The 26,775-nt window shown below is 40.3% G+C and overlaps 1 pseudogene across 1 annotated transcript; it reads right to left on the bottom strand.

Annotated features, from left to right (window-relative positions):
- Positions 1-245: 245 nt before the first annotated feature.
- Positions 246-17,714, bottom strand: TPTE2P6 (TPTE2 pseudogene 6; annotated as a pseudogene). Its single transcript, NR_002815.2, has 9 exons — positions 16,200-17,714; positions 14,340-14,420; positions 11,128-11,460; positions 10,596-10,696; positions 8,611-8,666; positions 3,559-3,651; positions 2,063-2,133; positions 645-820; positions 246-535 (listed from the first exon to the last, which is right to left on the bottom strand). The product of NR_002815.2 is annotated as a TPTE2 pseudogene 6 (transcript).
- Positions 17,715-26,775: the final 9,061 nt, after the last annotated feature.

The following is a 26,775-nucleotide window of genomic DNA, read 5'->3' as shown; positions in this document are numbered from 1 at the left end:
CTTTCTAATAAATCTGAAATTACAAATGTGAACCAAAGCAGGGAATAAATACTTGACCAAAAATATGTAAGTGGGTGTTGGGGAATCACAATTTTTAAATATCTCAAGTTTTTGCTATGAAAGTTCTATTTCAAAGTTCTTCAAAATGATGCCTGATGTTCCTGCATACTGTGTTCCCAATTTATGTAAATACAAGATGGAAACTGTGAAGTATGTGCCTTCAAAAAAGAAGAAAAACACTGACATTTTATCTATATATATTTAATAGATTTATGAAGAACATATATAAACATATATAAATATAGATACATCATCAAGGAAGACTTAGGACATATGAACATGCACATGGCAGGGGTTGGAAAGAACATTAATTCTTTCCCAGAAGGGGAAGGGGAAACTATACTTAATCGGATCCAGCTACGTCATTGGAAGTCATTTCTCGCCAAAAAGTATCTCCACGGCAAATTCTGGTGGATAAATTTTCCATGCTTTTTGTTGATGTGGATTATCCAATTCATTTCTTGGTAGATAAAGCCTAAGAATAGAAAAAAAATTATTACATTTTATATTGGGGCTCACCGAAAAGCCACGCAGTTGGATACCCACGTTAGTTAGAGCTGGAAGAAACAAAAAAAGAAACTCACCGTGAATAGAACCTCAGCCCCTTTTTTGTGTCTCAGTTGGCTCCTTCCACCTTTTTGGTGAGACTTAAAAATACTTTAATCTTCAGCAACACATCAGTAACACATGCTGACTCTCTTAGCATTGCTTTATATGGCATTAATGACTTCCAAGTTTAATAAAATATCTAAATTTCTCTCTGTGACAGAAATCAGTCAGGATAGACATGAATGAAAACCCAGTAATAAAATACTATATCTCTTTTAATTTATGTGTGAGGTTGCAATTTTTTGAATTTTTACAATCAGACCTTGGAAATGACCTTGAGCAGTAGGATATAACTCCCACATGCTGAGCATTCCAATAATGGAACACTAGGCATAAATTGGTTAACCCACTTATGCCTAGTGTTCTAAATGATAGAAGTTAGCATTTTTGGCTAAACAACAATCTCATAACTAACAAAAACAGCTTTACCAAGTAATATGTAAATTTAAATGTTAAAGAAATCTTTAGAAATTTATATAAAAGTAAGAATAAAAGTGATCTAGCTTATCACTTCTCCAAAATGAACATAGTGTTTTAAAGGAAAAAGACTGTATCCTTTAGCAAGAACCACTTTCGAGGAGCAGCATCAAATGAAGCTACATCCAGGTCTCACTTTTTGAGGGACTTTGCTCATGTTAGAAGAAAAAGTTTAATGTTTGTATGCATCCAAAAAAAAAACTTGTAAAAATTTCCGTCAAATCCAAAGTTCACTCTATCAAAATCCATTAAATGTTTTGCATTGCAAGTATGTAGACCAGAGGTTTAATTTCCTGTTGCCTTGCTGGACTTAAGGAGTTATTCGATCCAGTTCACATTTGAAGAAAAGATTAGGACTGGATGTAACAATAACTATCAATTCATGCCACATATAATCATAGCCACTTCTTCAATTCTGACCTAAATCATTTAAAAAATATTTTGTCCTTTTGTATTGAAGAGTATGGTTGATACAAAAAAAAAATCCCAATTTTTCACCATCACAAAACAAATGCTACTTATAGTGGAGAACTTCTAGACTGAGAAATGCATTTCCAAATATGGTAGGTTTTTTTGGAACAATAATCTCCAAACCCAATTAATAATTTTTCAGAAAGATTTCCCAATTCAGTTATTAGAAAGCCACATTTAAATGGCTATTTAAATAGACCATTACTTAATGATATTTCTTAGCTGTATTCCTTAATACTGTGTCTTGTAACTTCTCCTAGATTTAAGTGTGTCTGTCAGCTTTTCATCTAGCTGAAGCCTCCCTAGGTCCTGCCTTACTTTAGCACAAAATTTGGTGGTGGTTCGTCACTGGTAAATCAGCACCTACCGACAGAGACCTGATATATTGAAGGTGCTGAGCAGACAGCCTAATGGCTGTTTCTATGGGTTTATATTATATTCATACCTGTTATTTTGAATAAAAGATGTGTTGAACCAGAAGAAAAATGAACAATTGTCATAGTATTTAGGAAGATTCTAAAAAGAAAAAAAATTTCAAAGTAAAACTGATACCAAGAACTAATCATTCCAAAGAAATTAAAGTTCCTTCCTTTATTCCTTTTTATATTTATCAAACAATTATAACCATTAAATATGTGGCACTCTGCAATCTATAATACACTCAAGACACAAAGGAGGAGGCTTTAAGAAAATGCTATTGCATTCTCTTGCTGTTTCTATCAAAATTTTCAAGGAATAGTATTTTTTCCATGATAGGTATTTAATTTAAATGCTGCTATTTGAATCTGGTTTAGATAGTGCCAAACAGACTCTACTAAGGACCTATGCCTATATATACCCAACTAGATTGTAGTGAATTCTTATAATTTTTTTGTTGCCTCAGCATCCCTTTTAAATATAAATTGGACTTTCTGATATCAGAAGCAGGGTTCAGTCACCCTCAGCAGTTTCCAGTTCATCTCCCAGTTTCTCCATGTGACTGATCCCGATATCTGCCTTATACAACCTTCCCCTGGTGACCACTTTATTATGGGACAGCTAGATATAACCTACTTGACTCCCCCCATAGGCCCCCATACTCTGCAGGGACCACGTGGATATATCAGTGACCACCTCTCAGTCACAGTAGAGACTCATGGCTGCTTGTGTTAAACCAAATTAGACCTCCCCACAGGAAACCTGCTCAGGTACCACCTTACATCCCAATAAAGGCTTCCACTCTCAGGTCCCTCCCTGTCTCTCGCTATTGCTCCCACCCATCAGTCGAGCACAGGTCTCCTGGATGGCTCCCCCTTCCAGTTGGCCCTGCGAAGTGTGCTGCCCTCTTCTCTCTGGAATTAATAAAAAACTGTTTTGGTTATTTCATGTGTTGTATTGTGCTACCTCCTCTGTGTTTCACCTAGCTGAGTCACCCAAACCTAACTCTCTTTCCAGTCAGTGCTCCCAGCTACTCGGGAGGCTGAGGTGGGAGGATTGCTTGAGCCCAGGAGGTTGAAGCTACAGTTAGCTATGATCATGCCACTGCACTCCAGCCTGGGTGACAGAGTGAGACTCTGTCTCAACTTCTTAATTTTTTAAAAAAGATGCAAAACAAAATGTAATCATTGCTATGCAGTAAAACATACCTTTGGGTTTTTTTTTTTTTTTTTTTAGCATCTTGGCTTTTACTTTTTTTGTGTTTATTTTGTATTTTTGTGTTTACATGTATTTGAGAATACATGTAAATTTAGAAAAATTTAGAAAATTTACAATTTAGAAAAAAACAAATGAACAAAAATTATTCAAATTACATATGTTCTTTTAAAAAAATTTGTTATAGATCTGATTTATTGTTTTCCTCCCCCTCCCCCTCCCTTGTTGGGAATTGTAGTAAAGCAAATCTTAAATAAAATCATTAGACCAGACAAGAACAATGGCAGAGGCTATTTTGTGATTACTCACCGAAGAGAAAAACTGCACTTTCACATCATCGTACAGAGATGGACTGTCATATACATTAGTTAATACACCAGCTGTTTCAATGTCATGCAGTATCTGTGAATGAACACATGGAATTGAGAACTACAAACCTAGATAACGATAACAAAAGGTCCTTTTCACTTATCATGACTTCCTATATTTATCAAGTACTTTTGGTCTCACAGCCCAATCACTACATGCATAAATAATTATTAATAATCTTTTCTAGTTGCAATACTGTTGTCTGTGTGTGTGTGTGTGTGTGTGTGTGTGTGTGTGTGTGTGTGTTTTCGTTTGTTTTTTGTTTTTTGAGACAGAGTCTCACTGTCACCCAGGCTGGAGTGCAGTGGCGTGATCTCGGCTCACGGCAACCTCTGTCTCCCAGGTTCAAGTGATTGTTGTGCCTCAGCCTCCCGAGTAGCTGGGACTATAGGCACATGCCATCATACCCAGCTAATTTTTGAATTTTTAGTAGAGATGGGGTTTCACTATATTAGCCAGGCTGGTCTCAAACTCCTGGCTTCAAGTGATCTGCCTGCCTGGGCCTCCCAAAGTGCTGGATCACAGGCATGAGCCACTGCACCCGGCCTGTTGTTTATGTCTTTTAAAGGCCAACATGTTTGAGGGTTATCATGAACCACTTTTCTTTTTTTTTTTTTTTGAGACAGAGTCTCATTCTGTCAGCAGGCTGGAGTGCAGTGGCATGATCTCGGCTCGCTACAACTTCCACCTCCCGGGTTCAATTGATTCTCCAGCCTCAACCTCCCAAGTAGCTGGGACTACAGGCACGTGCCACCACGCCCAACTAATTCTTGTATTTTTAGTAGAGACGGGCTTTCACCATGTTGGCCAGGATGGTCTCAATCTCTTGACCTCGTGATCCACCCACCCTGGCCTCCCAAAGTGCTGGGATTACAGGCATGAGCCACTGTGCCTGGCCATGAGGCACTTTTCAAAAGTGCCACACTTTTAAAAAGTATTGAATTTTCTATTAGACTTTAATCAATTAAATATTATCATTTAATGTGTGTCATTTGATTTTCATGTGTTAGGGCCTTTTTTGAGAATATATTAAGAAGCTCAATTTTAAAGCTAGCATTGACATTCAAAAAGCAATGTGTAACTCATCATGGTTTTATATTTCCTAAATTTAAAAAATAAGAACGGGGGTCTGCAATACTTGGGGGTTGGGCCCGCATGCCCCTCCCAAGGGAGAGGGAGAGTGGGGTCCCCCTGCTCATCATGTTTTATCAGAACTCTTGTGTTTGTCAATGGGATCTTTGAACTTGACCAATGCAGGCTGCTGGATGGAGTAACCAAAGATAGCTCAAGTTATGGTATGAATGACTTTGAGGCTATACTATTTCTTTGACTCACTCTCATATAAATAAAGGCACCCACAATAAGAAAGGTCTATGCTAGGCCCTGTAGAAAACACAAAAGGAGGTGCAGACTCAGTTGGCCCCTTTTGGGAGCTGTACACATAAGAAACAATAGTAGAATGGGACATAACATAATCTGTATGATAAAGACTGGGCGTGCTGTTATGCACTATTGGGGGCTAGTTAACAGAAGGTACAGAATGCAAAAATTTCATTAAGGAGGTAGAAATTGAATTGGGCATGAAGCAGTTTAGATAAAGGAAGAAGAGCTCTGAAAATAGACTCTAGTCCAAACGGAGGGAAAAAGACCAGCAATAATGCAAAGTAGAAATTAGAAAAATGGGCCAGGCATGGTGGCTCATGCCTGTAATCCTAGCACTTTGTGAGGCTGAGGTGGGCAGATCACCTGAGGTCGGGAGTTTGAGACCAGCCTTGAAGGGGTGGCCTGCCCCTCCACACCTGTGGGTGTTTCTCCTTTGGTGGGATGAGAGACTGAGAAAACAAAGAGACACAGAGACAAAGTATAGAGAAAGAAAAGTGGGCCCAGGGGACCAGCGCTCAGCAAAGGGAGGACCCACGCTGGCACCAGTTTCTGAGTCCCCTCAGTATTGATCATTATCTCTACCATCTCAGAGAGGGGGATGTGGCAGGACAATAGGGTAATAGTGGGGAGAGAGAGGGTCAGCAGGAAAACATGTGAACAAATGTCTCTGTATCATAAACAAGGTTAAGAAAAAGGTGTTGTGCTTTGATATGCACATACATAAACATCTCGGTGCATTAAAGAGCAGTATTGCTGCCAGCATGTCTCACCTCCAGCCCTAAGGCAGTTTTCTCCTATCTCAGTAGATGGAATATACGATCAGGTTTTACACCAAGACATTCCATTGCCCAGGGAGGGGCAGGAGACAGACGCCTTCCTCTTATCTCAACTGCAAAGAGGTCTTCCTCTTTCACTAATCCTCCTCAGCACAGACCATTTATGGGTGTCGGGCTGGGGACGGTCAGAACTTTCCCTTCCCACGAGGCCATATTTCAGACTATCACCTGGGGAGAAACCTTGGGCAATACATGGCTTTCCTAGGCAGAGGTTCCTGCCGCCTTCCACAGTGTTTTGTGTCCCTGGGTACTTGAGATTAGGGAGTGGTGATGACTTTTAACAAGCATGCTGCCTTCAAGCATTTGTTTAACAAAGCACATCATGCATAGCCCTAAATCCATTAAACCTTGAGTCAACACAGCACGTTTCTGCCAGCACAGCATCTCAAGGCAGAAGAATTTTTCTTAGTACAGAACAAAATGGAATCTCTTATGTCTACTTCTTTCTACGTAGACACAGTAACAGTCTGATGTCTCTTTCTTTTCCCCACAAGCCTGACCAACACGGAGAAACCCCATCTCTACTAAAAATACAAAATTAGCCAGGCGTGGTAGTGCATGCCTGTAATCCCAGCTACTTGGGAGGCTGAGGCAGGAGAATCGCTTGAACCCAGGAGGCAGAGGTTGTGGTGAGCCGAGATTGTGCCAATGCACTCCAGCCTGGGCAACAAGAGCAAAACTCTGTCTCAAAAACAAAAAGAAAAGAAAAAAAATTGGAAAAACAACAACAAACAATATCAGGCAGTGTGGCTCATGTTTATAATCCCAGCACATTGCGAGGCTGAGGTGGACGCGTTGCTTGAGCCCAGGAGTCTGAGACCAGCCTGGGCAACATAGCAAGTCCCAGCCTCTTCAAAACATAAAAAAACATTGGGGGATTGCTTGAGCTCGAGGTTGAGGCTACAGTAGGCCATGATCATGCCACTGCGCTACAGCCTGGGTGACAGAAAAAGACCCTGGCTCAAGAAAAAAAAAAAAAAAAGTAAAAGAAGAAAGGAAGGAAAGAAAGAAATAAGTTATTTCTTTAACTTATTTATAACCAAATAACTTATTTATAACCAAATAACTAAATTAGAGTTGTGTTCCAAGAGCAAAAAGGGATGACCCAGTTTATTTGGAATGAAGTCTGCTGGTCAAGCTACTGATGGAAAAAAGCTCAGGTATTACGTTAGGGCTATTATATCTTAAGAGCTCAACAGCCAAGGAAAAAAGAGAGAAGTTGTTGAAAAATATGGTGGGGCATTTCCTATGTGACAAAGAGGCCTGATAATTATCACATATGACACTTATTTAGTGACTTATAGTTCACAAAGAAACTTTATATATATTATCTAATTGAATTCCCATTACACTTGGATGTGTTATTTATTTTACAGATAAGGATGTTGAGCCAAAGGTGTTAACTGGCTCTGACCATGGGCACACAGTGTGTCTTCTGCTCTACCTACAATTTTTCACAATGAGAGGAATATTTCAGGATGCATATTTCAGGATTCTATACATTGCATTATAGAAGGAGAAAGAAAGGGTAAGGAGACCACTGCAGAAATCTACGCTGAGCAAAGGAGATTCTGGACAATTAGTGGCAGTGAGAACAGAAAGGAAGGAGAACATAGAAAACTGTCAAAGCCATAATCAACAGAGATGGATGACTAGCTGGATTTAGGGGGCTGAGGCAAAGAGAATCAAAGCCCAAGGCGTGAGTGGAAGAATGCTGGTGCCATTTGCAGAGGCAGAGAGAAAGCTCCTTGATAATTCAGACTGGCTAATGCATTTGAGTTGGAGTGGAAACTGTTCATGTTGTAGCTCCTGCATCAGCTGTTCAGTAAATGAACAAATAATAGTTGAAGTAAGGGGAATGGGTCACCCTTTAAGAATAAAGCATTTGCTAAGAACAGAAAACCAAGGGTCAGGCCTGGGTGAATGCCCTCAGTCGGGAGAGGCCAAAAAAGCCGGGGGCGGAGTGAGGAGGGGGTGGCAGGGAATAGGGTTAGTAATAGGAGAATTTGAGACAAAGGCCTGGGTAGGAATTCTAAAAGTTTATGGTTATTAGACCATGAAGGATGCTTTCTTACTGTTTCAGAAAAGGTATATAGTTTTAGGCATTTCTTCATTGTAGCAAAACATTGACTACCAGGTCCCTTTTGCTTTGGATAAAGAGGTTCCTCCCCAGTTCATTCATCCTTGCATTGTTTCTCACAGGGTCATCCCACAGAACGTCTGACTTAGAATCACTTGGGACATTGCTAAGTCTATAGATTCCTGGGCCCCATTCCAGATTTCCCGAATCATACTTTGGGGGTACAACCTAGGAATGTAAATCTTTACAAGCTCCTCAGTGGTTTTCATGCACACTGAAGTTTTAGAATCAGTGCTATATAATAAAAGATCAAATGACTGAGAAGAAGAGAATATGGTTAAAAATGACCAGATATGTAAATTAAAATCCTTAATACATTCCTGGGAACATGCTCAGCATTTGTGGAAGTGTGAAAGGCAAAGCAACACTGACCAGAAATAAATTCTGGAAAGCACCCTGAAAAAACTGTTTTGAACAAACAGGTTAATTTATCTCTGGTTTGCATCCAAACCCAGTGACACCAAGTTGGATGGTAACCAGAAAGCGTTACGGAATCTCTTTATGGTGAGTGATAGTTTAGGGAGGTGAACATTGCTGGTTTGACATTCAGCCTTAAAACAAACATCAGAGTTTTTCAATTCACATGTTTTCTCTTACTGAACAATTTCCTAATGAAGTACTGGAAAAGACAACCTTTTTCTCCATTACTATTTGGAATTTTAGATCACATACATCGCCTGTTCCAACACCTAAATGAAATAAAAAAGTTAGGTTGGTTAGCGTGAACATCAATATGTCTCACCAATTAACATCATGGATTAAAAAGAGAAAAAATTATCCAAGCTAACAATGTTATCAATAGTTACTTATTTGGTCTTGCATGGATTTTGTCTTTGAAAGACAAGTCTTCAAGCCTAGTTCTGTCTCCTAAAGCAGATTTTATAAGACTAGAGAAGAGAAAAAACATATACATAGTTCAGCTTCAAAGACTTAGAATCCCATCACTTTATCTTTCCAGAAAAAATATTTAGGGAAGGTAGGCCGGGCATGGTGGCTCATGCCTAGCACTTTGGGAGGCTGAGGTGGGTGGAGGATTACTTGAGGTCAGGAATTCTAAACCAGCCTGGCCAAGACGGTGAAACCACATCTCTACTAAAAATACAAAAATCAGCCAGACGTGGTGGCACATGCTTGTAATCCTAGCTACTCAGGAGGCTGAGACAGGAGAATTGCTTGAACCCGGGAGGTGGAAGTTGCAGTGAGCCGAGATCACACTACTGCATTCCAGCCTGGATGACAGAACAAGACTCTGTCTCCAAAAAAAAAAAAAAGAAAAGAAAAGAAAAGAAAAGAAAAAGACAATTCTGGGAAGGTGACTTGCAACCTTTCTTGCTAATATGTTGCTTTCCTCAGACTTCTAATCATAATGATTCTTAATAATAAATACTGGAGTTTAACTACTTTGGCCCTACTTTAAGGCCAGTTCCTGAGGCAATCTCTATAAAAATATAGGATTTTTATATCCAAAAATTCCCGTGGTGTTCAGTATATATTTATAGACAAAGGCTCTTTTGTTCCTTTTTTTTCAATTCAAATGACCCACTTCCCTCAGCATTTCCTCAAAGACTTGGTTTCTCAGCCAATTAATTTTTTTATTGCTTTTCTCTCAACTCTACGTTAATTTTAATTCAAATATGTACAAAACTAAAGGTAGAAAATTAAAACAAATATTTTAATAAACAAGTGTATTATCTTTGATTGCTCATCTCATATGCTGTTTGTTTTCTTTTCATTTAATTTTGTTTTCACTAACACCATGATATTCATTTGTCATTAGAAATCACAGTTTCTTGCCTCAGTTCCCTCTTTCCCATTCCAGGTGCAGAACTTCCTTCTATTGATGTCTACCAGAAATCAGTGAAATGTAGAACTAAACTCAGAAGGCTAAAAATACTACGCTGTCTGTGTGGACACCAGCATCCTGGCCCCATGGCACCTATAGCACCCAGCACTGGCACCATCTCAGGTCCACAAGCTGGCTGCTAGAAGAGGTTTGCTTTAGGGGTTCCGAAGCATCACCTCCCTGCTACCTCTCTGGCAGTGGGAGTGGTGAGTCCCCATTCCTTCCACACAGACACATCCTGCTTTCCCGCCTCCCCTGAGTGTAAGCTGGGAGTGAGAGGGTTACAGATGGAGGAGAGAGGGGAAAGGGAGAGCCCAGGGTGATGAGAAAAAAAAATGCCTCTAAAAGAAGGTGAGAAAATGATACGATACGGAGACACCTCCACCAAGGCAAACTCTGAACTAGAGGTGGTTCTGAGAAATAAGCAGGCTTGAGGGCACATGGGTCCTCCTCCTCCCTCATCAGAGGCTCCCTCTGCCCGGAAAAGTCCACCTGGGTTGAGACCGGAGGAGCAATGAGAACAGGAGAGATGGGAAGGGGATGAAGTCCCCCAAGTTGGTGATGGAAAAGAAAAAGTGAAGAACATCTCAGGGCTGGCAATCAATGGGCAATTGCAGGAGGAGGGGCATAAATAAGGAGGAGTTCCTGTGTGACAATATGTAAAAAGACAGGTATGAGTTAGGCTCATCTGTATATATAACTATGAGCAAAACTCTCCCAGAGTGGGGACATTGGCCCTCCTGCCCAATTCTTCAATTACACATAAAGCACTTACCACGAATCGAATAAATAATGAATCTTATTATAAAGAGTATCCGTCTTGGAGGGAGATTCCAGTTGTAGAGATGTTTCACTTGTGCAAAATATCCAACATATCTATTGTGAAAAGCAACAGAAATCTTCCTTTAAGTGGAGATGAAGTCTAAAGTCAGCATTCCTTTTTTTTTTTTTTTTTTTGCATAAAGCTTGTTAATGGAGGTAAGTAATTAAGAAAACATTTACTGGATGCCATTATATAACTGGACATTTTTAGGGATGCTGCCCCACAACTATCTACCTTGAGGGAAAAATACTGAATTCAGTGCAATGGGGAAGTAACAAGGATGGAGCCAGGCCCTGTTTATAGGCTGCTTATGGTTGAGAGGGCAACTAATCAGAAGCACAACAAAACAGTTACAGCATCATCAGTGTCCAGATAGAAGCTTAGTTGTGACTGAGTTAGAGGAAGGCTTGTGGTTTGGTGAAGAGCAGCTTCCTGGGCATGAGAGAATGGTATAAGTGAAAACTCCAGAGGAATACCTCCATACCTCAGTAGCAGGTTTTCCATCATTCTTCTCTTGTTCCTGATGCTAGAATTCTTCACTTTGCATTTCCTCAATTCTGTTTTCTCAAGGAAGCCCTGGAATTCTCTCAGCCTTGTCCTTTCCCTGGGGCAAGCTGTTCACAACGGCTCTCCCCTGAATCTTTCTTCAAGGTATTGAAGAGCTCTGGTACTCAATCAACTGGTTCAGAATTCAAAAGTTGGCCATCATGGTGGCTCCCGCCTGTAATCCCAGCACTTTGGGAGGCCGAGGTGGGCAGATCACTGGGCGTCAGGAGTTTGAGACCAGCCTCGCCAACAGGGTGAAACCTTGTCTCTACTAAAAATACAAAAATAGGCCATGCGTGGTGATGGGCACCTATAATCCCAGCCACTTGGGAGGCTGAGGCAGGAGAATCGCTTGAACCCAAGACGTCGAGGTTGCAGTGAGCTGAGATTGCACCACTGCACTCTAGTCTGGGCGACAGAGCGAGACTCTGTCTCAAAAATTAAAAACAAAACAAAACAAAACAAAACTCATAGGTTCACAGACTGTTCCTTACCCATTGGGAAATGCTCATTAAAGTAACTAGCTGCCATACTTCCCTTCAGAAAGGGCCAGTCATGAGATAGGCTCAAGAAAGTCCTTAACTTAGGAGTAGATGTAGTCAGTAGAATGGCTAACAATGCAGGATCAGAATGTGATGGTGTCTGAGAATCACCACCAGACACAGAGGGCACTCTGTCCTGAGGTCTTGCCAACAGCTCTCAAACGTGCAGCTGAATCCCTTTGTTGCTTTTTCAGTGAATCAGAAGAGATTCAGTTGCAGCTTTGATGTGCTAGTTCTGGACTAAAGTTAGGGAAACTATGCATGACTGCAGAAGAAATGGGGATGAGGAGATGTGTGGGGAGAGTTGTTGAAGGAGCTCCACCTAGCATCCCCTTAGCTTCTGCCACTAGATTCTCCACCTTTCCCTAAGGGCTGTAAAACACCAGGGCCCTCAAGCTGCTTGTGCTCCCACGCTTCCTTCTCCTACAACTTAAAACAACATGGACTTGTAGTAGAAATTAATACAACCAACACATAGGAGGCACTCACTACAAACAACAAGATATTACGAGAAAAGGGTGGAAAGATGGGTAAGCCATGGGCTTTGCCTTTAAAGGGGATACAGAAGTCACCACTTCAAATAACTAGAGAATGATGCAAAGTGATGTAGTCTCTAAAAGAAACACAAAGGGCTCTAAGAATTGAAAAAGCAAGAGACTACTTCAGGCTGAGAAGGGAAAGGGACTCTAGGAAAAGGGGGCATGAGCAACGGCATGAGGGTATCAAGTGTCCATAGGCTGGGAAAGAGCACACAGTCTAAATGTGTTGGAGTATGGGATGTGTGCATGCACATAGTGGAAGAGAAGGTTGGAAAAGTCAAAGTGTGGCTCTTGAGTGCCAGGTTGAAACGTTTAGTTTATTGCCATTGGCAGTGGGGACATAGTATGGATTTTGAGCATGGAAATGGCATGATTAGGGCTGCACTTCAGTAAATTCACCTATCACTTTTAGCTTAGGGTCTATGAATATCTTTGTTTTGTTTTGTTTTGTTTTGGGCTTGGGTGTGGGAGAAAAGTATCAGTGGATAAGGCTGAGTTCTTCTGGCCCAAACTAAAGGTTTAGGGCCGGTAGTTAGAGTGTTCTTCTAACGGGGCCAAGAGTACTTACTCAGCTCCCACCACTTAAAGAAAAACTCATTTACAGCCACATCCAAATCCATTTCGGAATTCCCAACCCACTCTCACTTCAGTTTCAGGGGCAATATAGAAAAGGCAATATAAATGAGAAGCTGTGCACAAAAAGGGCTTCAGAGACTGACATCTAGATTTCAGTCCTTGGTTCAAAAGTTACTTTCTCTGAACCTCAATTTTCTAATTTATAAGATGAGAATGACAGTAGTGCCTACTCATAGAGTTATTGAGAATATTAAATGAGATAGTGAATATTAGAATAGTTCAGCAAAGTCTAGAATGTTGTAAATGCTATAGGATAAACATCCTGGTTTCTGCAATAAACAAATTACAAGTAATAAAAAATGGTGAGAAATCTATGAACTTAGATTCTTAAAAGAGACTTAGGAGACACAGCAACCAAATGAAATGTGTGGACTTTGTTTGAATTCTGATTAAACAAACTAAATTTTCAAAGATTTTAAGACAATTCTGGAAACAAACATGGACTACAAATTTGATATGAAGGATTTTTAAGGTATAATATTTTTAGATATGATAAAAAGTGTTAAGGTTTTTTGTTGTTGTTTTAAGAGTACTTAAATGTCATACTAAAATGCTATGGGATAAAATGATCTGACGACTGAAATTTCCTTTAAAATAACTCAGATTTAGGGAAAGCAAGAGTGGAGAGTGGGGTTGAGGGGTGTGAGTGGAGTGGGAAAGAACGGATGAAATGTGGCTGGCTGCCGGCTGAAATGACTGTTGCAGCAATGTGACGACTATATGTGGATATATTGTATGATGCTCTGGACTTTTGTATATGATTAAAATTTTCCATAACAAAATGTTTCTAAAAGAAAAAACAGAGTAACAGTGTATATTTCATATAGGTGTTATGGGTATTAAATGAGATACGTAAAAGTGCAATACTGTCTGGTATACAGAAGGGGTTTTGAAAAGTTTATTTCTCCTTTTATTTTCTCTTTTAAAATACACCTCCCCCACAACACACAGAAAATACACACACACACACACACACACACACACACACACACACACAACCATGAGTCATCCAAAAACAGTTCTTTGTGATGTTTTGCAAGGGTTGAATTGCCCAAGTAAGGGTTTGTGAAAGACTTGGATCTTTTTTACATTGAAATCAAAGGCTGGTGATTTTAGACACACTTCAGAGTCCTGGAGCCTTGGGTACTGGACCTTCCTACTTTGGGAAAATAATCAACTCCTGAGCTCCATAAACAATAACCAGTATAGAATAGAAAGCAGGATTCTCTGAGGAGAAGCCAGAGTCCCCAGCATGTGGGCAGCACCTAAAGCGTGACCCTCAGACTCAGGGAGGGACCAAGGCCTGTTGCAGGGCACCCAACTGCTGCTGCCTGATCACCAAAGGAGAAGAGTCTAAAATGAAACCAAATAACAGCTGGCAATCTTAACCCACTCCCCTAAAAAAACCTCCCATTTTTAAAAAGAAAACTTACCTGAGAAGGAGTTTCTAGTCCCTGAAATTTACTGCTGTGCGTTTTATCTGTTCGCCTTTCTCCAAAATAATACAGGCTTTCCTGCAAAAAAGGGTACAATCCAACCATGGTTCATCTGCACTCTTTCCTTTCCTATATTAGGTACCCTTAGGGTTTCTACACCCACCTTCTTTCCTAAAGTCAGTGATTTTGTTTGTTTGTTTGTTTGTTTTTTGGTAGAGTCTTGCTCTGTAACCCAGACTGGAGTACAGTAGCAGGATCTAAGCTCACTGCAACCTCTGCCTCCTGGGTTCAAGTGATTCTACTGTCTCAGCCTTCTGAGTAGCTGGGACTACAGGTGTGTACCACCATGCCCAGCTAATTTTTTGGATTTTTAGTAGAGATAGGGGTTTCACCATGTTGGCCAGGCTGCTCTCAAACTCCTGACCTCAAGAGATCCACCTGCCTCAGCCTCCCAAAGTGCTGGGATTACAGGTGTGAGCCACCTGTGCCCGGCCGAGTGATCTTTGGGCAGAGGTTAGTGAAAATAACAAAATTAGGACTTCTCTCATTCAAGGATTCATACATTCATAAAATTTTAGAGCTGGAAAGACCTTAGAAAGCATCTGGTCCAACCCTTCTTTCCATATTACAAATGACAACACTGAGACCAAAAGAAAACCAAGCAACCTGCCAAGGAGATGCTGCAGCCAGTTAGAAGCAGCAGCACAGCAGATACAGGTCCCTGGATCTCAGTCTAGGGCTCTGGATCAATGGCTGTCAATGACTTTCAAACCTTTTGTTTTTTAAGCTGCAATCCACATTAATAAACCTAGGAGACACACACACACACACACCCCAATATTTAAACCTTTTGATATTTTCTATTCTGCTCTATTCCATTTTATTTTTAAAAGATGTCAGTTACAACCCAGTAACTTTATTTTACAACTCACTGATAAATCATGATCCATAGCTTGAAAAACACCATCCTAGAACACCCATTTTCAAAATCTGTGTATCTCAAATCAGAGAAAGCAAAGGTGGTGGAATGGGAGTGCTGGGCATTGTGCACAACCACCACCTCTTCCCTAGACTGCAGGCCAAACAACTCGAGCAGAGCTGCTGGAAATGGTAGCATCTCAGCAAGAAAATGGCAGAAAGAAAAATGACTGAGAACTCTGCTTTAAGTGGAAACAGCCCACCTTGTCTTATCAGAAATTTCTAGAGGTCACAGACTCCACATGTATTGACTAAGCAAAGATACTTACATTCAGGAGAGGCTTTGTTTTGAGTTGTGAAATGTTGCTTTTTATCTACCTAAGAGTTGTGAGGATGGGCAAGGCTCTTTGGAGAATTTATCTAATTAAGCTTGATACTATTCTCACGAGGAAGGAAGAAGACATGGTACTGGCAGGAGTAAGAGCAGAGCCAGGTGAAGTGAGGGAAGCATCTTGATTACTGAATGTTTTTTTCTGTGTAACATGGCTTTACACCCCGCACCTTAATCCTGCCCCATCAGGTCTTGTCTTTATTTAAAATGTTGATATTGTATACATCATAGATTTTTTTACGTTAATTTTTATTAAAATATTGTGTTAAAATTATTTATTTTAATTATTACAATTTTTAGCATTCCCTTAAATGTTGCACCTCATTGACCTCACTCTAGTCCTTGCCCAAAGAGATTCTGAGGTCAGCTACTAACTAGTGCACGTTAAACAAGAAAGTATCAAAAACAGACTTTCTAAAAACTGCTTCTCTAATTACAATTTTACTAAGCACCATGACTCAAATAACACCTTAACGTCCTACCAGTGATGTTTCAGAACTAGCAAACTCAATCATCATAAGACAAAGTTTGTAGAACATCTTTCATACCTCTGCAGTTAAAAATATTTCGGAGGCAATAAGGAAGGCACAAATCATAGTTCCGGTTCTTCCTAGAAAAGAAAAGAAGTTAGTTCAAGGAACATACGTGGTATAAAAATACACTCAGAAATATTCAAGGAGTGCATTTTAAGTTGATTTTCTTTCTTTTTTTTGAGACAGGGTCTTGCTGTGTCACGCAGGCTGGAGTGCAGTGGCACAATCTTGGCTCATTGCAACCTCTGCCTCACAGGTGAAAAATACGCAAGTTACATTTACAGTAAAAATATCTCTCACCATCGCTCCACAAAAGGACACGATGAGGTTTTTACTAAATCTATAAGAAAGCAACAATTATGTCTTTTATAATTTTTTTGGATAATAGTAAAAAAGAAAAATTGCCAACTCATTTAGTATATTAATATAACTGATTCCAAAATTGCACAAATACAGTAGAATAAAAGATATTTTTACACCAGTCTCACATATAAATGTAGATTTTAAAATATACATATATTTTCAAAGTGAATTCAGCAATGTAGAAACACCATGTATCAACACCAAGTGCCATTTCTCTTAAGGATGCAAGGATGTTTTTTCCAAGATGGCAGATTACAGGCTTTTAGCATGCCTCAGTCATTTGGAAATAGCAAGCAAGTACATAAAGACCAACTCTGTGAGCTTTAATTCAAGAAAGGAAATGGCAATTCCCCGGAATTATGAAGGACATCCCAGATCTTGCGGAGGACATTGCAGGCAAGCAGCCCTCAGGACAGCATTCGACTGATAGAAGTGAGTGAAGCCTCAGTAAGTGAGAGAGGCAGACAGCATCCCTCTGTCTCACCTTTCCACTGGAGATCCACGCAACCCGGGCAGAGGAAGAGATTGTTTCTCCCAAGCCTTGGAGCTCATTTGAGGAGAGACTTGGAGACTTTGTGGGGGAAAGACACAGGGAAACGCTGCCGGCATTGTCCCAAACCTGGACTGGGAGCAGGACAACACTGGGGGAATCTTCCCTATCTGGCTCCACCCATCTTGTGCCCCCAATCCCCCTACCCCTAGGGCTGAGGGAGCTCAGATTAATGTGTACTCAGGAAATCAGCCCTTTGCCTGGGGCAGGAGAGAGCTCCTCCCAATAAACAAGGATCAAGTACACAGCCAGCAGCACTGGCAACAGCCAGCTCTTACCCATGGCGCCATCTACTGGCTTGTAGGTCAAACCACACACCCAATATAAAACCTGCTGGCAGAAGTGCATTAGGGCTACAGAAGCAAAGCCAAAAGACCCTACCCAGCATGCTCTACAGCCACACCCCTAGGGAGGAGGGAAAGGGAAAGAAGAAAAAAATAACAATAATATTATAGAAAAGGAAAGAAAAAGAAAAAATCCTACCCAAACAAAAATAATTACACAAATTAGAAGTGCTAGCATCTCCAGATGAGAAGGACCCACACAAGAATTCTAGCACCATGAGAAATCTGAATGTAGTGACACTACCAAAGGATCACACTAGCTCTCTGGCAATGCTTCGTACCAAAATGAAAACTCAGAGATAACAATAAACATTTCAAAACTTGGGTTGCAAGGAAGCTCAATGAGATTCAAGGTTGAAATCAACAAAAAGAAACTTCTACATCAATCCGGGAAATGAAGGAAGAGATAAACATCTTAATAAGAAATCAATCAGAACTTCTAGAATTAAAAAAACTCACTTAAGGAATTTCAAAATACAACTGAAAGCTTTATCAATAGACTGGACAAAGTAGAAAACATAATTTCAGAGCTTGAAGACTGGTCTTTTGAACTAATCCAGTCAGACAAAGATAAAGAAAAAAGATTTTTTAAAAGTGAAGAAAGTCAGAAATATGAGATTATGTAAAGTGATCAAACCTACGAATTACTGGCATGCCCTAGAGAGAAAGAGAAAAAGAAAACAGCCTGGAAAACATATTTGATGGAATAATTCAAGAAAATTTCTTGAATCTTGCTAGATAGACATCTAAGTACAGTAAAGCCAGACAGCACCTGTGAGATACTATAAAAAATGAACATTACCAAGGCATATACTCACCAGACTGTCCAAGGTCACTGTCAAAGAAAAAGCCCTAAAGGCACTGGAGAAAAAGGCCAGATCACATACAAAGGTAGCCCCATCAGGATAACAGCAGACTTCTCAGCAGAAACCTTACAAGCCAGCAGAGATTGAGGTATCTATTTTCAGAATTCTTGAAGAAAATAAATTATAATCAAAAGATTCATATCCTGCCGAACTAAGCTTCATGAGTGAAGGAGAAATAAAAACATTTTTCTAGAGAAGCAAATGCCAAGAGAGTTCATTACCACTAGACCAGTCTTACAAAAGATGCCTAAGGGAGTTCTAAACATGGAAATGAAAGAATGATACCTGCTATCATAAAAACACACTTAAGTACATAGCTCACAGACCCTATAAAACAACCACACAATAGAAATTACAAAAAAACCAGCTAACAATTTCATGATAGGGTGAAAAGCTCACATGTCAATAGTAACCTTGAATGTAAACACACCACTTAAAAGTCACAGAGTGGGCTGGGTGCGGTGGCTATTCCTGTAATCCCAGCATTTTGGGAGGCCAAGGTGGGTAGATCACGAGGTCAGGAGATCGAGACCATCCTGGCCAATGTAGAGAAACCCTGTCTCTACTAAAAATATAAAAATTAGCCAAGCATGATGGCACATGCCTATAATCCCAGCTACTCAGGAGGCTGAGGCAGGAGAAGCACTTGAACTCAGGAGTCAGAGGTTGCTGTGAGCCAATATCATGCCACTGCACTCTAGCCTGATGACAGAGAGAGATTCTGAAAAAAAAAAGAAAGAAAGAAAGAAAGAAAGAAAGAAAGAAAGAAAGAAAGAAAGAAAGAAAGAAAGGTCACAGAGTGGAAATTGGATTAAAAAAACAAAACCCATCTGTCTGCTGTCTTCAAGAGACCCATCTCACATGTAACAACACCAATAGGTTCAAAGTAAAGGGTTGAAGAAAGATCTATCGCACAAACAAAACACAAAAAAGAGCAGGGGTCACTATTCCTAAAACAGATAAAACAGGCTTTAAACCAACAATAGTAAAAAAAGACAAAGAAGAGCATTACATAATGATACGGAGTTCAATTCAACAAGAAGCCTTAACTATCCTAAATATATATGCACCCAACATTGGCTCACCCAGGTTAATAAAACAGATACCTCTAGACCTATGAAAAGACTTAGCCACACAACAATAGTCAGGGGACTTCAACACCCCACTGATAACATCACACAGATCATAAAGACGGAAAACTAACACAGAAATTCTGGACTTAAATTCAACACTTGACCAATTGGACCTAATAGAAACCTAAAGAACTCCCAGCATTTTGGGAAGCTGAGGCGGGTGGGTGGATCACGAGGTCAGGAGTTTGAGACCAGTCTGGCCAATATGGTGAAAACCCATTGCTACTAAAAATACAAAAATTAGCCAGGTGTGGTGGCAGGTGCCTGTAATCTTAGCTACTCAGGAGGCTGAGGCAGGAGAATTGCTTGAACCCAGGAGGTGGAGTCTGACAAAGGTCTAATATCCAGAATCTATAAGGAACTTAAAGAAATTTACAAGCAAAAAACGTCATTAAAAAAAAAAGGGCAAAGGACATGAACAGACACTTCTCAAAAGAAGACATACACACAGCTAACAAACATGAAAAAGCGCTCAACATCACTGATCCTAGAGAAATGCAAATCAAAACTACAATGTGATACCATCTCATACCAGTCAGAATGGCTATTATTAAAAAGCCAAAAAATAGATGCTGGCAAAGTTGCAGAGGAAAGGGAATGCTTATACACTACTGGTGGATATGTAAATTAGTTCAGCCATTATGGAAAGCAGTTTGGTGATTTCTCAAAGAACTTGAGAATTACCCTGTGACCCAGCAATCCTATTACTGAGTATATACCCACAGGAATATAAATATCATTCTACCATGAAGACACATGCATGCATATGTTCATCGCAGCACTATTCACAATAGCAAACACACAGAATTGACCTAGGTGCCCATCAATGGTGAACTGAATTAAAAAAATGTGGCACACATATACCATGGAATACTATGCAGCCCTAAAATAAAAACAAGATCATGCACTTTGCAGTAATATGAATGGAGCTGGAGGCCATCCAGATCCAGCTTAAAAATTATTCTAAGCAAACTAACACAGGAACAGGAAACCAAATACCACATGTTCTCACTTATAAGTGGGAGTTAAACATTGAGTACACATGAACACAAATATGGGAACAACAGACATTGGGTCCTACTTGAGGGTTGGAGGCTGGAGGATGGTGAGTATCAAAAAGCTACCTATCAGGTACTATGCTTATCACCTGAGTGACAAAACAATCCGTACATCAAACCCCTATGACACAAAATTTACATATATAACAAACCTGCACATGTACCCTTGAACCTAAAAGTTAAAAATTAAATAAATGTGTATACAAAAAAATAAACGGGATTTAGGCATGTCTATTTATATATAAAAATGGAGCTACTAGCATAGTCATGAACCAACTGAATTATATCTCAGTATGTCAAAATGGTTAATATTTATGTAAAGATAATGAGAAGAGAAAATATTTCAGGTCAGATTTGGGATTTTACATGAAATTATTACTGCTGGGAAACCAACAGATTACATATCAGATGGATCCCAGGAGACATGTGAGGACTGACACAATGTGGAATAAACATTAAAAAAAGGCCAGGCATGGTGTCTCATGCCTGTAATCTCAGCACTTTGGGAGGCTTAGGCAGGCAGATTGTCTGAGATCAGGAGTTCGAAACTAGCCTGGCCAACATGGCAAAACCCCATCTCTACAAAAACAGAAAAATTAGCTGGGTATGGTAGTGTGTGCCTATAATCCCAGCCAATCAGGACGCTGAGGGATAAGAATTGCTTGAACCCAGGAGGCAGAGGTTGCAGTGAGCCAAGATGGCACCACTGCACTCCAGCCTGGGCAACAGAGACAGACTCTGTCTCAAAAAAAAAAAAAAAAAAAAAAATTCAACAACAGACTAGGTCAAGCAGTATAACAAATTTCAGAACTTGAAGACAGATCTTTTAAAATAACCCCATCATACAAAAATTAAAAAAAAAGAAAAAAGCAATGAACAAAGCCTACATGACACATGGGACACCACAAAGCAACCAAACATTTGAATTTTCAGTGTCTCAGAAGGCAAAGAACAAACCAAGGGGATAGAAAAGCTATTTAACAAAGTAACAAAACTTTCCAAGTGTAGCAAGAGATTTAGACATGCAGATACAGGAAGCGCACAGATCCCCAAACAGATATAATTCAAAAAGATCTTCTCCATGGCCCATTATCATCAAATTGTCAAAAATTGAAGACAGAGAAAAATTCTAAAAACAGCAGGAGAAAATAAGGGAACTCCTATCAGACTAACAGTTGATTTCTCAGCATAAGCCTTACAGGCCAAGAAAGAATGGCATGATATATTCTAAGTTCAGAAAGAAAAAAACCATCAGCCAAGGAAACTACATCCAGAAAAGTTATCTTTCATAAATGAAGGTGAAATAATGTCTTGCCCAGACAAGCAAAAGCTGAGGGAATTCATCACCACTAGACCAGCTATATAAGAAATATGTAAGGGAGTCTTATACCCAGAAGCAAAAGGATGGTATCTACCATCATGGAAACACAGGAAAGTATAAAACCCACTGGTAGAGCAAGCACACAAATAAGAAAAACAATTCAAAGGTTTTCACTAAAGAAAACCACCAATCCACAGTGATAAACAATAAGAGAGAAAGAAAGAGACAAAGGACAAATAAAGCAACAGAAATCAATTAATAAAATGACAGGAATAACCCTCACATATCAAAAATAGTCTTCAATGTAAATGGATTAAACTTTCCACTGAAAAGATATAGACAGGCTGAATGGATTTTAAAAATAAAAATGACCCAAATATATGCTGCCTACAAGAAACTCACCTCACCTGTGGAGACATATAGACTGAAAGGAAAGGAGTGGAAAAAGATATTCTGTGCAAAGGGAAACCAAAAGTGATCAGGAGTAGCTATACTTATATCAGATAAAACAGACTTTAAGTCAAAAACAGTAAAAAGAGGCTGGGCACAGTGGCTCACGCCTGTAATTCCAGCACTTCGGGAGGCCGTGGCGGGCAGATCACAAGGTTAGGAGCTCGAGACCAGTCTGGCTAATATGGTGAAACCCCATTTCTACTAAAAATACAAACAATTAGCTGGGTGTGGTGGCAGGTACCTATAATCCCAGCTACTCGGGAGGCTGAGGCAGGAAAATCACTTGAACCCAGGAGGTGGAGGTTGCAGTGAGCCGAGACCATGCCACTGCACTCCAGCCTGAGCAAAAGAGCAAAACCCTGACTCCAAAACATACATACATACATACACACATCATACATAAATATTGGGCAAAGGACATAAACAGATATTTCTCCAAAGAAGACATACAGGTATATAAAAAATGCTCAATCTCACTAATCATAAAGGAAATGCAAATTAAAACCACAATGAGCTATCATTTTCACCCAGTGAGAATGGCTATGATTAAAAAGACAAAATAATAATGGATGTGGGTGAGGATGTGGAGAAAGGGGAACTCTTTTACACTGCTGAGTAAGAATGTAAATTAGTATAATCACTGTGGAAAACAGTATGGAGATTTCTCAGGAAACTGAAAATAGAACTACCACACAATCCAGCAATGCCACTACTGGGTGTTTATACAAACGAAACAAAACCAGTACATCAAAGAGATGATACCTGTACTTCCATGTTTACTGCAGCACCATTCACAATAGCAAAAATATAGAATCAACCTAAGTGTCCATCAACAAACAAATGAATAAAGAAAATGTGGGCTGGGCACGGTGGCTCAGGCCTGTAATCCCAGCACTTTGGGAGGCCAAGGCAGGTGGATCACGAGGTCAGGAGTTCAAGAGCAGCCTGCCCAAGATGGTGAAACCCTGTCTCTACTAAAAATACAAAAATTAGCCAGGCATGGTGGCGGATGCCTGTAATCCCAGCTACTCGGGATTACTCAGGAGGCTGAGGCAGAGAATTGCTTGCACCCGGGAGGTGGAGGTTGCAGTGAGCCAAGATTGCACCACTGCACTCCAGCCTGGCCAACAGGGCAAGACTCTGTCTCAAAAAAGAAAAAAAGGAAAGAAAGAAAGAAAGACAGACAGACAAAGAGAAAGAAAGAAAGAAAGAAGGAAAGAAAATGTGATATATATATATATATATATTTTTTTTTTTTTCAAGTACTATTCAGCCATAAAAAAGAATAAAATCATGTCGTGTGCAGCAACATGGATGGAACTGGAAGTCATTGTTATGTGAAGTAAGCCAGGCACAGAGAGACAAATATTGCATGTTATCACATATGTAGGAGCTAAGAAAGTTGATGGTGGATAGATAAGATACCAGAGGCTGGGAAGCATGTGAGGGTTGGCAGGGAAAAGTGGTGGTTGGTTAATACAGTTAGACAGAAGGAATAAGTTTGAATGTTCTATAGCAGAGTAGGGTGACTACAGTTAGCAACAATGTATTGTGTGTTTCAAAATAGCTATAAGAGAGGACTTGAAATGTTCCTAACATATAGAAATGGCAAATACTCAAAGTGACAGATACCTTTAACACCCTGATTGATCATCACACATTCTATGCATGTAACAACATATCTGTTCCCCATAAATATGTACAAATATTTATTGTGTACCAATGAAAAATAAACAAAATTTTAAAAATAAAAATACAGTATGTCTACACAATGAAATATTATTCAGCATTAATACACTGCAAGTTGGATAAACCTTGAAAACATGCTACATGAAAGAAACAATGCATAAAAGATCACAAATTGGGCTGCACGTGGTGGCTCACGCCTGTAATCCCAGCACTTTGGGAAACCGAGGCAGGTGCATCACTTGAGCTCAGGAGTTCCAGACCAGCCTGGGCAACATGACGAAACCCGTCTCTACAAAAAAAATTAAGCAGGCTTGTTGGCACGCGCCTGTGGTCCCAGTTACTGACTACTCACAAGGCTGATACAGGATAAAGATATCAGGGCAGTTTCATGGCTGGGATCAACTCTTCTGGAAGCAGGTCCTAGCAGGACTGGGTGTCCACATCCAGGATATGGGCCCTGCAGAGAGCTTAGAATACTTACCTCTCAATCTGTGTGGAGAAGTAGGGGCTGGTGCCTTGAGGACTTACTGTCCTTCTGACCAGTCCTGATGTTTCCAAGGCACTGGGATTTCAGGTCTGGATAAGACTCTTCTAAGGCCACAGTGTGGAAACTGCAGTGCGGCAACTGCAATAAGTCGCAGGCCAAATCCTCAACTCTGGCACCATCTAAAGTGTCTTCCTTGGCCAGGTGCGGTGGCTCATGCCTGTAATCCCAGCACTTTGGGAGGCCAAGGCGGGTGGATTACCTGAGGTCAGGAGTTTGAAATTAGCCTAGCCTACTTGGTGAAACCCCTTCTCTACTAAAAAAAAGAAAATACAAAAAATTAGCTGGGCGTGGTGGTGGACACCTGTAATCCCAGCTACTGAGGAGGCTGAGGCAAGAGAATCGCTTGAACCCAGGAGGTGGAGGTTGCAGTGTGGCGAGATTGTGTCACTGCATTCCAGCCTGGGCAACAAGAGCAAAACTCCGTCTCAACAAAAAAGGCCAATTTATGTACTTATTTACTTCTAAAATTTGGCTTTTTGGAATATCACTCTTAGGATTTGCATAACAAATTGTGTATAAATTTACTAATTTTTATTTTATTTATAAGAACAACTCACTCTTAGCAGATAGGGCCATGAACACATCCTTATAACATAACAGGTACAGACAAGACTGTTTAAATCATGACCACTTTACTCCTATAGCAAGTAGGTAGAGCAGGAATTCCTACAGAGGGAAATTATTCCTCCAGTTCTTGCTAGCTCAGACTTCCTCCCATGCCAAATCATTGCTATGGCTCCTCCTTAAGTCTGCATGATTATCTGTCCATCTCAGTCCCCAATAGAAAGAACAGACTTTGAATCTCAGAGACAATTGGTGGCCACAAGTCCCTGAACTGCTACTTGGCTTTCTCAACAAAAACTCAGACTTGGCCAGGCATGGAGGCTCACACCTGTAACCACAGCACTTTGGGAGGCCGAGGTGGGTGGAGCACCTGAGGTCAGGAATTCAAGACCAGCCTGGCCAACATGGCGAAACCCCGTCTCTACTAAAAATAAAAAAAATTAGCCTGGTGTGGTGGCATGTGCGTATAGTCCCAGCTACTCGGGAAGCTGAGGCAGGAGAATTGCTTGAACCAGGGAGGCAGAGGTTGCAGTGAGCCGAGATCGTGCCACTGTACTCCAGCCCCTGGGCGACACAGCAAGAGTCTGTCTCAAAATAATTAATTAATTAATTAATTAAAACTTGTTCTTGTAACCCAAGGCAACCGATAGGCTCATTTATGCTTTGGCCTCCAGTGACAATGAGTTCTAGATGACAAGTCTCAAAGAGAAGAGCCCCTCTAATTGTCTGGGCCCCTGCCCTAAGCCTGCAGACTTAGGTTTGGTTCTCACTGATAATCACTGCCATTCACCATTGGTGATTAATTCAGTCATCACTCTGGAGATTCCAAGGACTTCAGGAACTGTGTGTCAGGAACTAAGGACAAGGACCAAATATTTATTTTTTATTATATCATAATATTAATAGCCAAAAATTTCATCACCCTTTATTGAATACTCTCATCTTTTACCACTGAGTTCTGATGCCATGTCTGTCATTTATATTTCCATATATTATTTGTGCACTTTCTAGGCTCTCTTTCATTTCATTAGCTTATACATCTATCTCTGCACCAATACCACACTGTTTAACTTAACTTTTTAATAATTATTTAAATCTGGTAGAATAAGTTTACCACTTCGATGCTTTGTTTTTAAACATATGCTCTTCCTCATGAATTGTAAGATTAGCTTGTTCAGTATTGTAAAAAATCCTCTTGAATTTTTATTGGAATTGCATCAAGTTTATGGATTAATTTTGGGAGAACTGACATCTTTATGATTCCATAGCAATTATGTCCTGGGACTAGATAGCTGTAGTACCAGCTACCCAGGAGGCTGGGGCAGGAGAATAGCGTGAACCCGGGAAGCGGAGCTTGCAGTGAGCCGAGAGTGCGCCACTGCACTCCAGCCTGGGCAACAGAGAGAGACTCCGTCTCAAAAAAAATAAATAAATAAAAATAATAATAATAAAAAATAAAAACATTTACTGACACTTTGGGAGGCTGAGGAAGGTGGATCATGAGGTCAGGAGTTCAAGACCAGTCTGGCCAAATGATGAAACCCCGTCTCTACTAAAAATACAAAAAAGTTAGCCGGGCGTGGTAGTGGGCGCCTGTAATCCCAGCTACTCAGGAGGCTGAGGCAGAGAATTGCTTGAACCCGGGAGGCGGAGGTTGCAGTGAGCTGAGATCGTGCCACTGCACTCCAGCCTGGGTGACAGAG

This window comes from Homo sapiens, chromosome 13, assembly GCF_000001405.40.
Source record: "Homo sapiens chromosome 13, GRCh38.p14 Primary Assembly".
Classification (NCBI taxonomy): domain Eukaryota; kingdom Metazoa; phylum Chordata; class Mammalia; order Primates; family Hominidae; genus Homo; species Homo sapiens.
The sequence above is the reverse complement of the archived record's forward strand: the minus strand, read 5'-3'. Positions and strand labels throughout refer to the sequence as shown.